Here is a 16,553-nt window from a genome sequence, read left to right on the forward strand (position 1 = left end):
GGCACACCCACACAGAGCCTGTGAGGCATGGAATTCTGTGTGTCAAGCTCTTTCCAGAAACCACCTATTCTTGATCCTGATTCCGATCTTGGGGCTCTCCAGTGCTACTCTCCAGGCTCTTGACTAACTCATGAAAGAGGAAGCCCTGCACTGGTTCTCCTCCTCAGGACCCCCAGAGTCCGAGGCTCAAGTACACCCACCTGTTGAGCATCCCTGCAGCTGCCTGGTTTAGGAAAGGCAGGTAAGTTGGTGTGGGAGGGAAGCCCCGGCTAGCTATGGATACGTGGTTATTGTTCCAGGATTCTCAGCCATCCCATGTGTGTTATTAAAAGTTCACTGCGACCGCTAATCATTCATGTACCTGCTCAACACATAGTTTTGGAATACCTACCCTCAACTGGGCAATATGCTACCAGCAGGGGACAAAGGGTGAGCAGAAGCCCATATGCTCCCTGTCCTCCTGGGAGGATGCAGAGTCCAGTGGGGAAGACAGACCTCTAACACTCATACCAAAATTGGAACTTGGCAGCTGTATGATGTGCTACAGGGAGAGGGCCCCAGGCCAGGAGGGGCTCTGATTATGGGGTCTGCACAGACTTCCCTGAAGGCACAATGCCTGAGCAGGGATTTACTGGATGAGGTGGAGCCTTAATTAGTAGAAGAGGGGAGGGAAGAGCTTTCCAGGCAGAACGAATGAGCCATGCAAATGCCCTGGGTGGGAGGGGACAGGGCCAGACAAGGGTCCAAGGGAGGTTAATGTGTCAGGAGCAGAGGGTGAGAGTGAGCTGGGAAGGCAGACAGGGCCTGAGGCAGGCAGGGCCAAGAGGAGGAGTTTCGTATTTGTTCTAAAACCAGTGAGGACTTAGGGGAGAGGAGGTGGGAGGTAAGATGTTATCAGGTTTGCATTTTGAAGTGGCCATTCTGTCTGCATTGTGGAGGAGATATTTTGTGGCAGAGATGGGGGCCAAAAGGACAAGAGTGGGCCAGTTAAGAGGCTGCTGCATTGCAGTAGTCCAAGTAAGTGGTGATGATAGATTAGGCTAGGGTGGCAAAGGTGCGGATGGAGAGAGGTGAACAGATTCAAATTTCATTTAGGAGACACAATGATGAGATTTGATTACAAAGTGGATAAAATTATAGGCAACAAATATTTAGCAATTTATAAGGAATGGTTGAAAATAAAGTCTCAGGTGTAGAGATGCTAGGCAGAAGCAAAGAGAAAGCAGAGTTAAAATCGCACAATGTGTAACTTAAGATTTAAAATACTAAATGGGATAAAAAGGACTAGGTAATGAAAAAAGTCAGTATTTAAGGAAAACTTATATGATCTAGCACAGCCATGTATTGACAAGTGGTTAAAGCAAGCACGGACTAACAGAGACTACCGACACTTGGGTAATGCCATCAAGGTTACTGAAAGGTGGCTCACGCCTATAAATCCAACACTTTGGGAGGCCAAGGTGGGAGAATCACCTGAGCCCAGGAGTTGGACACCAGCCTGTGCAATGTAGGGAAAACTGTCTGATATGGTTTGGCTCTGTGTACCCACCCAAATCTCATCTTGAATCATAGCTCCCATAATTCTCACATGTTGTAGTAGGGACCCAGTGGGAGATAATTGCATCGTGGGGGTGGTTTCCACCATCCCCCATACTGTTCTCGTGGTAGTGAATAAGTCTCATGAGATCTGACAGTTTTAGAAGGGGTTGCCACTTTCACTTCCTTCTCATTTCTCTCTTATCTGCCGCCATGTAAGACGTGTCTTTTGCCTTCCATTATGATTGTGAGGCCTCCCTAGCCACTTGAAACTGTGAGTCCATTAAAATCTCTTTTCCTTTATAAATTACTCAATCTCAGGTATGTCTTTATCAGCAGCATGAAAACAGACTAATAACACTGTCTCTACCAAAAATAATTCTTTTAAAAACCAGCCAGGCATGGTGACACGTGCCTGTATTTCCAGCTACTCAGGAGGCTGAGACAGGAGGATTGGTTGAGCCTGGGAGGTCAAAGCTGCAGTGAGCTGTCATGATGCCACTGCACTCCAGCCTGGGTGACATAGAGAGGCTCTAGGATCTGCAGCAGCAGCAGTGACATCCTGCAATGGAGGCACCAGGTTCCTCACCCGCAAACCCTCACCAGCCAGTGTGCAGCTGCAAATGAAGCATCAGAAGGGGTGAGGACATCTAAGACTCTTAGGAAGCGGAACGATCCCCTTGCAGGCCCAGCCTTACAAGCACAAGTTGAGTGCTCAGCCTGTAACTGGGACTGCACAGAGTGGGGAACCAGCTGACCTGGGCCAGGAGCACACCAGTCATCTTGGGGTTTTATACTTCTCAAAATAATTGCTAGAGGACAGTACACAGTGTAATCAGGACCAAACAAACTTCATACCCATTATTCTCTCACCTCCACAGGCTAGCACAGCTTGCTCTAAACACATTCCTAAGCAACTTTAAGAAAAGTTTAGCAGAGTTCATAGTATCATTTGTTAAGGTGCCTAATAATATAAATGTTCCAAAATTGTCTCAATCATAGCAATAAGCTCCTGGAAATGGAAATGGGAAAGAGAATAATTTCACCAGGATGACAAAAACTATTAAATATTTTAAAATAAATTAAACAAAAGGTCCAGGACTTAGATGATTAAAACTGTAAAAGCTTATTGAAGAATACAAAATAAGATCAAAATAAAAGGGAAAATATGCCATGTTCTAAGATAAGAAAATTGATGTCTTTAAAAATGCCATTTTTTCCCAAATCAACTTATAAATCTAATATTTCAATTAGAATACAAACAGGTTCTTTTTGTTTGTTTTGAGGGCTATTTGTGGGCTTTTTTAGTTTGGTTGGATTTTGTCCTTTATTTGATGGGAGGTGGGCTGGGAGTAGAGAAGAAGGAGGTTTTAATGTCTGAATGGAAGGAAAAATGCCCAAGAATAGTTATGACGAGTATGAATAACAACAGTTTCAAGGGTGCACTTGCCTCAGTAGATATGTGAACATGCTTTAAAACAGAACAAGATATTTTAGAATGTAGAGGCAAAATCAAATCAATATACAAATAGATCAATGCAAGATGATGAAAAAAAATGAACATAACACAGTAAAGAATCCAGAAATGGATGTCAGTATATTTGGAAATGTAGCATATGACAAAGATGATGTATCCAGTAAGAGGGAAAGGGGTATTATTTAATAACTAATTATTGGCACGACTAATTATTGATCAGGAAAAAAACGTATTAAAAATAGCAAAAAAAAAAAAAAAAAAAGCCAGACGTGGTGGTGCACTCCTGTAATCCCAGCTACTCAGGAGACTGTGGCAGGAGGATCATTGGCACCCAGGAGTTTGAGGCTGTAGTGCACTGTGACGATCAATAGCCACTACACTGTACCCTGGAGAACATAGTGAGACTGCATCTCTTAAAAAAAATTTACAAGTGATTTAATAACCTAAATGCTTTAAAATAATAATAATAGTCTTTCAAAGTAAATAAAAATACTTCATGTAAAATTTATGGATTGAGAGAGGACTTCTTAACCAAGACTAAAATCTAGAAGCTAGAAACAACTGTGTTTGACTATATAAAAATAATATTTTGCAGTAGTGAAAGATATTATAATATCATCAAAACCAAAAACTTGGAAAATCTTTATTTACAATGTAGAAATCAGCTAATACCTTATCATGTAGAGAGATCTTTCAAAATGACAAGGAGGCAAGTAATCTATTAATAAAATGAAGGAAGAAACAATTCATAGAAGAGAAAGACCAAAGAGTAAGCAAATCAATGAAAAAGCTAACTCACTCTCTGAGCAGGGCATCTCTGAAAGAAAGGCAGCAGCCCCAGACAGGGGCTTATAGATAAAACTCCCATCTCCCTGGGACAGAGCACCTGGGGGAAGGGGCGGTTGTGGGCAAAGCTTCGGCATACTTAAACATTCCTGCCTGCTGGCTCTGAAGAGAACAGCAGATCTCCGAGCACAGTGCTCGAGCTCTGCTAAGGGACAGACAGCCTCCTCAAGTGGGTTGCTGACCCCCATGCCTCCAGACTGGGAGACACCTCCCAGCAGAGGTCGACAGACACCTCATACAAGAGAACTCTGGCTGGCATCTGGCGGGTGCCCCTCTGGGACAAAGCTTCCAGAGGAATGAACAGGCAGCAATCTTAGCTGTTCTGCAGCCTCTGCTGGTGATACCCAGGCAGAGAGGGTCTGGAGTGGACCTCCAGCAAATTCCAGCAGACCAGCAGCTGAGAGGCCTGACTGTTAGAAGGAAAACTAACGAACAGAAAGGAATAGCATCAACATCAACAAAAAGGACGTCCACACAAAAACCCCATCCGAAGGTCACCAACATCAAAGACCAAAGCTAGATAAATCCACTAAGATGAGGAGAAGCCAGCGCAAAAAGGCTGAAAATTTCAAAAACCAGAATGCCTCTTTTCCTCCAAAGGATCACAACTCCTCGCCAGCAAAGGAACAAAACTGGGCAGAGAATCAGTTTGATGAATTGACAGAAGTAGGCTTCAGAAGGTGAGTAATAACAAACTTCTCTGAGCTAAAAGAGCCTGTTCTAATCCAATGCAAGTAAAATAAGAACCTTGATAAAGGGTTACAGGAATTGCTAACTAGAATAACCTGTTTAGAGAAGAACACAAATGACCTGATGGAGCTGAAAAACACAGCATGAGAACTTCGTGAAGCACACACAAGTATCAATAGCCAAATCGATCGAGTGGAAGAAAGGATATCACAGATTGAAGATCAACTCAAATAAAGCATGAAGACAAGATTAGAGAAAAAAGAATGAAAAGGAACAAACAAAGCCTCCAAGAAATATGGATGATGTGAAAAGACCAAACCCATGTTTCATTGGTGTACCTGAAAGTGACAGGGAGAAAGGAATGAAGTTGGAAAACACTCTTCAGGATATTATCCAGGAGAATTTCCCCAACCTAGCAAGACAGGCCAACATTCAAATTCAGGAAATACAGACAACACCACAAAAATACTCCTTGAGAAGAGCAACCCCAAGACATAATCGTCAGATTCACCAAGATTGAAATGAAGGAAAAAATGTTAAGGGCAGCCAGAGAGAAAGGACGAGTTACCCACAAAGGGAAGCCCATCAGACTAGAGTGGATCTCTCTGCAGAAACCCTACAAGCCAGAAGAGAGTGGGGGCCAATATTCAACATTCCTAAAGAAAAGAATTTTCAACCCAGAATTTCATAGCCAGCCAAACTAAGCTTCATAAGTGGAGAAATAAAATCCTTTACAGACAAGCAACTGCTGAGAGATTTTGTCACCACCAGGACTGCCTTACAAGAGTTCCTGAAGGAAGCACTAAATATGGAAAGGAAAAACCAGTACCAGCCATTGCAAAAACATACCAAAATGTAAAGACCATCGACACTATGAAGAAACTGCATCAACTAATGGGCAAAATAACCAGCTAGCATCATAATGACAGGATCAAATTCACTTATAACAATATTAACCTTAAATGTAAATATTATGTATTTGTAAATTGCATAAATATTATGTAAATGTAAATTGGCTAAATGCCCCAATTAAAAGACACAGACTGGCAAATTGGATGTTACCTGCATGGACCTTGGGGGATTGAACAAAGGGGGGCGAATGTAGGAATAAAGAGAAAGACAAAAGAGTGTATTTGGAAGAAGGGGCACCTTGCCTCTAGTGGATAAGGGCCCAGACTTTCCACAGCCCTTTGAATTTCTTGGTAAAAGAGATAGCCAGAAGGGGGGTGGAAGAAGAGGTCAGCTGCTCAGGCCAGAGTAGGCTTGCAAGACTGCATTCCTTGAACAATAGGCTCTAGATATCCCAGTAGATAACCTCAAGGAGCCCAGCACTAGGGAGTGACCGCCCTCAGCAAACCTTCTGGCGGCAGGCACAGTGTGAGTTTGCCCACATCCTGCATTCATGATAAACCGTTTGCTGTTTGATCATATAGCCTCCAGTGGAAAGCTGAGCTGGTCACAATCCCTTTGGCCTTTTTGGCTCCCAACAGATAAAGAGTCAAGACCCATCGGTGTGCTATATTCAGGAGACCCATCTCACATGCAAAGACACAATAGGCTCAAAATATAGGGATGAAGGAATATTTACCAAGCAAATGGAAAGCAAAAAAAAAGCAGGGGTTGCAATCCTAGTCTCTGATAAAACAGACTTTAAATCAACAAAGATCAAAAAAGACAAAGAAGGGCATTACACAATGGTAAAGGGATCAATGCAACAAGAAGAGCTAACTATCCTAAATATATATATACCAAATACAGGAGCACCCAGATTCATAAAGCAAGTTCTTAGAGACCTACAAAGAGACTTAGACTCCCACACAATATTGTGGGAGCCTTTAGTACCCCACTGTCAATATTAGACAGATCAACAAGACAGAAAATTAGCAAGGATATTCAGGACTTGAACTCAGCTCTGGACCAAGTGGACCTAATAGACATATACAGAACTCTCCACCCCAAATCAACAGAATATACATTCTCAGCACCACGTCACACTTATTCTAAAATCGACCACATAATTGGAAGTAAAACACCCCTCAGCAAATGCAAAAGAACAGAAGTCATAACAAACAGTCTCTCAGACCACAGTGCAATCAAATTAGAACTCAGGATTAAGAAAGTCATTCAAAACTGCACAACTACATGGAAACTAAACAACCCGCTCCTGAATGACTACTGGGTAAATAACAAAATTAAGGCAGAAATAAATAAGTTCTTTGAAACCAATGAGAACAAAGACACAACATACCAGAACCTCTGGGACATAGCTAAAGCAGTGTTTAGAGGGAAATTTATAGCACTAAATGCCCACAGGAGAAAGCAGGAACGATGTAAAATTGACACCCTAACATCACAGTTAAAAGAACTAGAGAAGCAAGAACAAACAAATTCAAAAGCTAGCAGAAGACAAGAAATAACTCAGTGCAGAACTGAAGGAGATAAATGAAAAACCTTTAAAATATATATATAACTATATATATAACTATATATATAACTATATATAACTATATATAGCTATATATATAACTATATATATAACTATATATATAACTATATATAACTATATATATAACTATATATAACTATATATATAACTACATATAACTATATATAACTATATATAACTACATATGACTATATATAACTATATATAACTATATATAACTATATATAACTATATATATAACTCTATATATAACTATATAAATATAACTATATATATAACTCTTTATATATATAGTTGTATCACTGTAACATGATATCAGAGTTCTTTATTGCACAACACAGTTCACTAGAACGTTCTGCAATGATGGACATCATCTGTGCTGCCTAATATGGTGACCACTAAGTGTACGTGTCCACTGAACACTTGAAATGAAGCTAGTGTAACTGAGGAATTGAATTTTTAATTTTACTTAATTTCAATTAAAATTAAGATTTAAACAGCCGTATGTGACTATGGTTACTGTATTGGATGGCACATGTCTAGCAGGTACTTTTACTGTCATCAATTCTTTATTGACATTATGAGGCAACTATTCGTTCAAGTTTCTATCCACTTTTTAGGTGTTGAAACTAAGTATTATTTAAGAGACACTCCCTAAATAGCAGCAAAATCCTTTAGACTCCCCTCTGACCCAACCTCATATTACTACTGTTTGTGGATCCGCTGTTTTGACTAGTTAAAAAAAAAAAGCTAACTCACTATAAAGTACTAAATTTTATATACACACACACATATGTATGTATATATGCCTATGTAAATACGTATACTTGCATTCATCACAAAGAAAAAAGATAAAGCAACATAGAAGGACTTGGGGGAAGGATACATATATTTTTGGTACAAATCTTAACAAATAAGAACTTAGAAAAAGAATCTGGAAACATCTTAATGTAAAAAATACATACATAATTTGATCAAGCAATTCTACTACTGAGAACATATCCTCTAGAAATATCAGCATGAATATGTAAGTATATACATACGGGATTTTCTGTTCCAGCATGGTTTTTAGAAGCCAAAACTAGAAGCAACAATCAAAACATAAGGGGAATGCCCGATATATGGAAGTCATAAACAAAAAGATTGAGTGTGCTAGCTTCAGCAGCACATATACTAAAAATGAAAGAATATACTAAAAATGAAAGAATGATAACCTATGCTAATTGACATAGAGAACTGTCCATGAGATACTATTGAATGAAAAAAATCAAAATGCAGCAAATATATACAAACATGTGTGTATATACGTGTGTGTATACATGTGTGTGTATGTATGTATAGGAAAGCTTATATACTAGATTAATAACTACAGTTATCAGAGATAGAGTAGAATGAGGGCAGTAAGGAAATGATGCAGTTTGGGGAAGGACAGTCATATCAAATCACTTTTCTGCTTAAGAAAACCTTTAATGATTATTCATTTAACTTGCACACAAACAGAAACCTCTTACCATGGCCTACAAAGTCTGGCATAATTTTCTCTCCAGGTAGCTCTTTAACCTCGCCCCGTCCATTCTTTTTTCTCACTGTACCCTAAGCACCCCGATCTTCTGAAAGGTCCTAGAAGTGCAAAGTTCTTTCCCAGCTCAGGCTTTTGTACCTGCCCTTCCTTATTCCTGGGAAGTTCTTCCAGGATCCCTGGCTTCTTGAGCTCTAGGTCTCACCATCCAGAGATACTAACCTTAACTGTCCTATTTAAAGAGGTACTCTCACCCTGTTCTTCATTACATACAGTACACTGTATATTTCCTTCATGGCATGTTATCACAATTGATGATTTAAAAATTTTATTTTATTTTTTTTTTGCTTATGCAGGGTAAGTTTCCCTCTTTGGAATATAAGCTTCATGAAAGCAAAGAATATGCTTCTTTTCTCACCACTCTGTTCCTAGCACTTAATGCAGTTATTAAATAATGAATGATCCATCCTCTTCTTTACAGACAAGCTGGAATCCATCACGCAAAACCCGATAACTTTCTGTTCACTGTTGAGCAACAAGTATTAAGAATATTGACACTCATCCTTTCTCTTCTAACAAAGGCATCTTTGCTTTTTTTTTTTTTTTCTTTTTGAGATGATGTTTCCCTCTTGTCACCCAGGCTGGAGAGCAATGGCCCGATCTCGGCTCACTGCCACCTCCGCCTCCCGGATTCAAGTGATTCTCCTGCCTCAGCCTCTCGAGTAGCTGGGATTACAGGCGCCCACCACCATGCCTGGCTAATTTTTGCATTTTTAGTAGAGACAGAGTTTCACCATATTGGCCAGGCTGGTCTCAAACTCCTGACCTCAGGTGATCCACCCGCCTCGGCCTCCCCGAAATGCTGGGATTACAGGCGTGAGCCACCGCGCCCAGCTGGCATCTTTGCTTCCTACCTGAGCTCTGGGCCCTATATTTTGCCTCTTCCTCAAGAACCTCATTTCATCAATTATTAACTTCTTTTCTATATCTTCAACATCTCTGATCCTTTCTCCAGCATATATGCACATATGCTCAGTCCTTTCCACTCTAGAAAGAAGAGGAAGAAAGAAGGAATAAAAAACTCTCCACTTCTCTATAATAAAATGCACTTTTGGTTGAAGAATCCCCAGGAACAAAGATATCTTTAAAAAGCAGCCACCGTACGAGGAGGAAGGGGCAGGACAGGTCACCTATAAAGAAGCAACAATTGGGCAGGGCGTGGTGGCTCACGCCTGTAATCTCAGCACTTTGGGAGGCCGAGGCGAGCGGATCATGAGGTCAGGAGATGGAGACCATCCTGGCTAACACGGTGAAACCCCGTCTCTACTAAAAATACAAAGAATTAGCCGGGCGTGGTAGCGGGCGCCTGTAGTCCCAGCTACTCGGGAGGCTGAGGCAGGAGAATGGCGTGAACCTGGGAGGTGTAGCTTGCAGTGAGCCAAGATCGCGCCACTGCACTCCAGCCTGGGTGACAGGGCGAGACTCCGCCTCAAAAAAAAAAAAAAAAAAAAAAAAAAGCAACAATTAGACTCACTGCTTTTTTTTTTTTTTTCAATAGCAACAGTAGAAACCAAAATACATTGGAATGATGTCCTAAGCGAAAATAATTGCCATCTTAGAATTTCATATCTGGGGAAAATATCTTGTAAGAATGGGGATAAACACGTTTTTGGACAAACAAAAGCTAACATTGTTTTCCATCAACAGAAATTATAAAAAATTTACTTCAGGCAGAAAGATAGGGACAGATGATAGGTCTGAGATGCAAGAGGAATGAAGAACACAAAAGTGTGACTTAAATACGAACATCATGCATGACAAATTGAAAAGAATCAGCAAAGAAAAGATGATCTTTTCAATAAATGGACCTGGGAAAATTGGGTTATGAAGAAAAATGAAATTGGACCTCTGCCAAATAACATACAGGAAAATTGATTCTACGTAGATTAAAATCCTAAATGTGAAAGGCAAAACAATAAGCTTTTAGAATATATTATAGGAATATAGTTTCATGACTTCAGGGTTAGAAAGTATTTTTTAAACAAGAACCCATAAAAGACAATGGCTAAATTTGAGTACATTAAAATTAAGACGTTCTATTCATCACAGATACCATAAAGAGGGTGAAAAGAGAATCACAGCTTGGGAGATGTTTGCAACACATGTAATAAACAAAAGACTAAAATCCACAAATATAAAGAACACTTACACAGTAAGTAAAAAGAGACATAATACACCTTAAAAATGGGTAAGTGACTTAAATAAACGTTTTATTCATACATTGGAGTCTGTGGTCAAAAATCGATGGGAAAAGTACTGCTTCATAGCAATTTCCCAAGGAATGAGTATTTTAATGAATAAGATTAGAAAATGGTGCATGAGCACTCGCAGGCTCTGTCTCCAAGCTTAGGAAGTGGTTCCTGCATTTCAAGGCTGGATCTTTCACCTCCAAAATGTGCTTGGGGTATTATGTTTGGAAAATGAGCTTCAGAGAGGGCCCTTATTCAATACAGAGAACTATTATGAGATTTTGCAAGCAGGTTGCAATTCAGCATTTCTAAAATTTCTTAGCAGATTAATGTCATTTTGTACTTAGTGAAAATGTGTATTTAACTTTATTCTAAATTAAATTTGCAGGTGCCAAGCGCAAGAACTCATTAATAATAAACATTTCTTTTAATGAACGTAAATATTTTTGACTTAACAATTTCACGAAGGCATTATTTCCCTGTCTTCTGCCCCTTTACCTCTTTCTCTGTCTCTCCCATCTCCCTGTCTTAGCTCCTGTTCATCCAAACCACTCCCATCTCCCACCAAGCCTGATCTTTCTACATCTCTACATTTTACAACATTTCTCACAATTTTCCAATGGAATTTTCTTCAATACGTAATTAATTACTGGAAGGAAAAATCAACACAAAATAAAACTGACAGTAGTTAAAACCACATATTGTAAAATTTATGACTAAATAGTGCTAAAAATCTTACTTTTGTCAAAGTTTATATCTTGTCCAATTTAAGCCAGGTGGATTGGCCAATAAATAACGGCCTCAAAAGGAAATGTATGGCAATAATTATGAAGAGTAAAATTTGATAGGAACACAAACTCAATCATTGAATCACATTTGTGCTCTGAAAGTTTCTCTTTAGAAAGGAACTGATCACATTGAAAATGTGTTTAGGAAAAAAAAAGAGAGAAAAATGTAAATTGTATATCTCTTTTATATAGAAAAACTGATAAAAAATAATTAGCTCAATGTAGTTGACTCTGGAAGATACTACATCATTCTGATTAAAACACTTTTTCCAAATTATTCTAGAGGTTAAGAAGTTTAGTAAAATATATTTTCCATGAAATCCTGCAATTCATTTTTGTCTATAAATATAATTTTTATGTTATATAAATTAGAAAAATGGTAAATGTTTACCAATAACCTGGTATCAATTACTAATACTGATTGATATGCCACACAGTTTTGCAATGAACATTTGTTGAGTGGCAGCTGTGTGCCTTCACTGTCTAGGTACTGGGAAAACAGAGATGCATTAGACAGATTTCTGCCCTCAAGGAATTTACATATGCACTAAAATTGCAAACACGAGTCTGAAATTGATTCATTTTGCTTTACCATATTTGATTATATTAATAAATCTGTGAATTTTAAACATGGGCATGGTTGAAATTCCACTTATAAATTATTTATTCATCACTCTGCTGTGATGTTGTCTCTTCAAGACAGTGTCCTCTCCTGAATTTTCATTTATTTAAACATATCTGCAAGGTTTAGAAATCAATATCAAAAGCCTCTAAAGCATTACATTCAAAATATGAAGTTGGCATTTTACATTCTGTTACAGCCTTGCGTTAATTTAGCCTGTCAGAGTCAGTTTATCCTGTCAGTCCTCCATAAAGTCAAACCATTAATTTCCTCAACTGTCAGTGTACATATCACTTTTAGGATAAATCCATCGAATAAAATCTGACATCTCCCAGGCTTTGCCATCATTAGATGGTGATTAATGTTAAAAACTTCCATTCATCTTTAACACCCCCATTTCTAATTCAGTAATTGGATCAAAGAAAGAGATGCTGTGTTAACGGGCAGTACAGCCTATTTTCCAGGTGGCTCCTTCAGCTCCTGAGATACAAGTTCTGGGCCTTCCCTAAACCATTCCTAGCTTGAAGCTTCAATGACAGACCACCCCTGGACTTCAGCTTCAGCAACTGTAACCCCAGGACTTCAGTGTTCTGGTGATTCTTCATGAATCTTAAAGCCCAGGATGAATGCATTTCAAACTCTGTCCTGCAACAATAAATTAAGCTCCCAGAAATCGGTCTTTGAGACTTTCTTGCACTGTGTTACTTAAAGCATAAAGCCTTAGATTGAATTCCCATTGCTCCACTGCTCATAGGAAAAAATCCCTTAATAATCTGTCCCCTACCCAGTTCTGCAGCCTCTTTAACCTTTCTCTGTCTCTCTGTTTCTTCTCTCTAGCTTCATGGGCTTCCTTGCAGTCCTTCAAATGCCCTGCTCCTTTTCCCTCTGTGGGTCTTTGCCTTTTCTCTGTTTGGATTGCTCTTCCCCCCATCCTCATCCAGTTTCTCTTCTCTAACTTCTGATTAGAGGTCACTTCCTCAAGGACTCTTCCCCCAAATACCCACAGTAGTGTTATATGTTGTCAAGTACCTTTCCCTCATCACACATAACACAATTCTCATCACTTATTCACCTGATGATCTGCTTAATGTCTGTCTCCTCTCATTCAACAGTAGACATGAGAACAGGGAAATTTTCTGGCTTTTCACCATTTCATCACCATAGCGTAGTACACACAACAGCCCAGCTTACAGAAAAATGTTTTTAAAATATCTGTTAAATTACAGTAGGGTTGTATTCAGGTCCCAGTCTGGGAGGGCTCCATTTTTTTCTTGTATAAACAGGAATGGAGCTTAGGCACAGTGGAGTCCTTTGTGAGCACCTGCTAATGACCAGGACTAGCAAGGACCTCTACCCAACAAACACATCTACAGCTGTCCACACTGGTGGGTCCATTTCCCACTCACTTGCCTTCCTGAAAGCACGATGAAGACAAAATGGGCAGCCGGATTCAGCACAAATAATTAAGGGAAGGGTACCCACTGAAATGTTCTGCCACAAACATATACGCCAATAGCCGGACAAGCAAGAGTTCAAATGTTCTCGAAAGCACCAAGCTTAAAAATATAATCTTGACTCTGTGTTCATATTCAATAAATTCTTTCCTATGAGGGTTTGACAATCTTATCATCAGCAAATGTATCCACTCCACTCCTGATCTGCCTCAAACTGGATTGCTTTTTACTTACTAACCTAGGGTAAATGGGAATATGTTAGACTTTGGGTTTGCAGAGTAACTATAGCTTGTTTGTTTGTTGGTTGGTTGGTTGGTTGGTTGGTTGGTTGGTTTGTTCTTGGAGGCAAGGTCTTGCTCTGTCACCGAGGCTGGAGTATCATGGTACAATCATGCCTCACTGCAGCCTCGAACACCTGGACTCAAGTGATTCTCCTGCCTCAGCCTCAAGTAGCTGGGACTACCCACCCCCACACCTGGCTAATACAGCTAGTTGTTTATTCTAGCTTTACTTACTGCATGAGAAGTAGAGTCAAAGATTGAGCAAGTATATGCCTAGAAGGCTCTTATACTTGGCTGGTTGTGGATATCTCAAGAGGGGATATTCAAATCTGTCCATTTTCCCCAGAGCCATCACTGCCACCTTAGTTCAGGCCAGTAACATTCTTGCTTGGTCTACTGTATTAACCTCTTAACTTTTTCCTGGTTTTCTGTACAATCCATTTTCCACTTTGAAGACAGAGCAGTCTTTATAAATCAAATAAGATTGTGCTTGCCTTGGCCTAAAACCTGCCAATGGCTTCTCATCATACATATCTACTTGTTCTATCAATTACTAGAAAGGGATCTTAAAAATCTTCTGTTATGATTGTAGATTTATTTCTCCCTTTATTTCTGTCAGTTTTTGCTTCATGTATTTTGAAACTCTGTTATTAGTTGCATACATGTTTAGGATTATTATGTCTTCTTAATGGGTTGATTCTTTTATCATTATGAGATATCTCCTTTATCCCTAATGATACTTTTTGCTTTAAAGTCTCTTTGTCTGATATTAATATAGCTATTTCTGCTTCCTTACAACTAGTTTTATGTTTCTTAAGTTCTTATATATTTAACTTACTTGTGTCTTTTTATTTAAAGCATACGTGTTGTAAATAGCCTATGTCTGGCTCTTGCCCTTTTATCTAGTCTGAAGATATCTGCCTTCATGTAATTAGTAATACAATTGAATTAAGACTACCTTCTTTTATTTTTTCTCCATTTATGATATCTGGGTTTTGTCCCTTTTATCCTTTTTTACTGCCTTTTTCTGTGTTAATTATTTTTATTGTTTTACTTTATTTCCTCTATTAACATTTTAGTTGTGCTTCATTTAAAGTTTTTTTTATTGGGTCCTCTGAGATTACAATAAGCTCTACTAACTTAATGCAGTCTACCTTGAAAAAATATTAGACTACTTCATGTATAAGAAACCTACAACAGTATGCTTTCACTTGCCCTCTTCTGTCCCTGGTACAGTTATTGACATACATTTTACTCCTACATTTTACAAACTCCATGATACATTTTTATCATTTTGCTTTAAACAAGTATTTCTTAAAGAGATTAAGAAGTGAGGGAGAGAAGTCTTTTCTTTTCCCTTTTTTGAGAAAGGATCTGGCTCTGTCACCCACGCTAGGGTACGGTAGTGCAATCTCAGCTCACTGAAACCTCCACCTCCCAGGTTCAAGCCATCCTTCCACCCAGCCTCCAGAATAACAGGGACTACAGGTACATGCCGCCACACCCAGCTAATTTTTGTATTTTTTGTAGAGATAGGGTTTTGCCAGGTTGCCCAGGCTGGTCTCGAACTCCTGAGCCCAAGCAATCCACCCACCTTGGCCTCCCCAAGTGTTGGGATTACAGGCATGAGCCACTGCACCTGGCCAGAGAGAAGTCTTTTATATTTATTCACATATTAACAATTAAAAGTACTCTTCATTTCTCTGTATAGGTATGAGTGTCCATCTGGTATCATTTTCCTTTGTTTTCCTGAAGGACATTTTGATTTAGCAATCTAATGAAGGCATTACAGATGAAGGCATTACAATTATAAGTCAAACAATTTACAATGGTTCGACTTATAATTTTTTTGACTTAATGCTGGTGCAAAAGCAATATGTTGAACAGAAGCCATATTCAAATTTTGAATTTTGAACTTTTCCTGGGATAGCAATATGCAGTAGAATATTCTCTCTGGTTGCTGGGCAGTGGCAGTGAGCTGCAGCTCCCAGTCAACCACGCAATCACAAAGCTCAACAACCAATATTTCACAGTGTGCTGTGTTGCAGATGATGTTGCCCAATTGTAGGTTAATGTTATTTTCTGAGCATGTTTAAGATAGATTAGGCTAAGCTATCATGTTCAGCAGGTTAGATGTATTAAATGCATTTAGTTTTTCAATATTTCCAACTTAGGATGGGTTTATTAGGATGCAACCCCATGATAAGTTTCAGACCATCTACATTGTGATTCCCTTTTCTTCCTCCTATCTCCTGTCTCACCTCATATCCATTGAGCTCCCTCCCACCTCCTCCAGTCCTCCATCTTTCCAAGTTCTTTAACATTTCTCATAGTACAATTCCCAGAGTGACAAATTCTCTCAGCTTTTATTTATCAGAAAATAGCTTTATTTTTGCCTTAATTTTTTGGTGGATACATTTGCTGGATCTAAAACTTAGGTTGACTTTTTTTTTTTTGGCAGTATTTCAAAGATGTTGTTCCATCTTCTAACTTGCCTTGTTTCTTATAAGAAGACATGTTAATCTTATCATTGTTCCTTCAAATGCAATGTGTCTTTTTTTGGTGCTTTTACTATTTTCTCTTTTTTATTTATGGCAATTTGACTGTAATGTGCTTAGGTATGATTTTCTTTGTATTTATCTTGC

At 39.0% G+C, this 16,553-nt stretch overlaps 1 long non-coding RNA gene across 14 annotated transcripts in view, besides 1 other annotated feature; it reads right to left on the reverse strand.

Moving 5' to 3' along the window:
- Positions 1-16,553, reverse strand: part of LOC107986777 (uncharacterized) — a 303,857-nt gene that overhangs the window by 207,502 nt on the left and 79,802 nt on the right. The window lies entirely within an intron of this gene.
- Positions 129-629: an enhancer, noted in NCBI's record as "H3K4me1 hESC enhancer chr7:24388531-24389031 (GRCh37/hg19 assembly coordinates)". NCBI's record gives its function as "activates a minimal SCP1, AML or CMV promoter by ChIP-STARR-seq in primed H9 embryonic stem cells {active_cell/tissue: H9 hESC(primed)}" and the evidence as "EXISTENCE:reporter gene assay evidence [ECO:0000049][PMID:30033119]".

Source organism: Homo sapiens, chromosome 7, assembly GCF_000001405.40.
Source record: "Homo sapiens chromosome 7, GRCh38.p14 Primary Assembly".
NCBI classification, from domain to species: domain Eukaryota; kingdom Metazoa; phylum Chordata; class Mammalia; order Primates; family Hominidae; genus Homo; species Homo sapiens.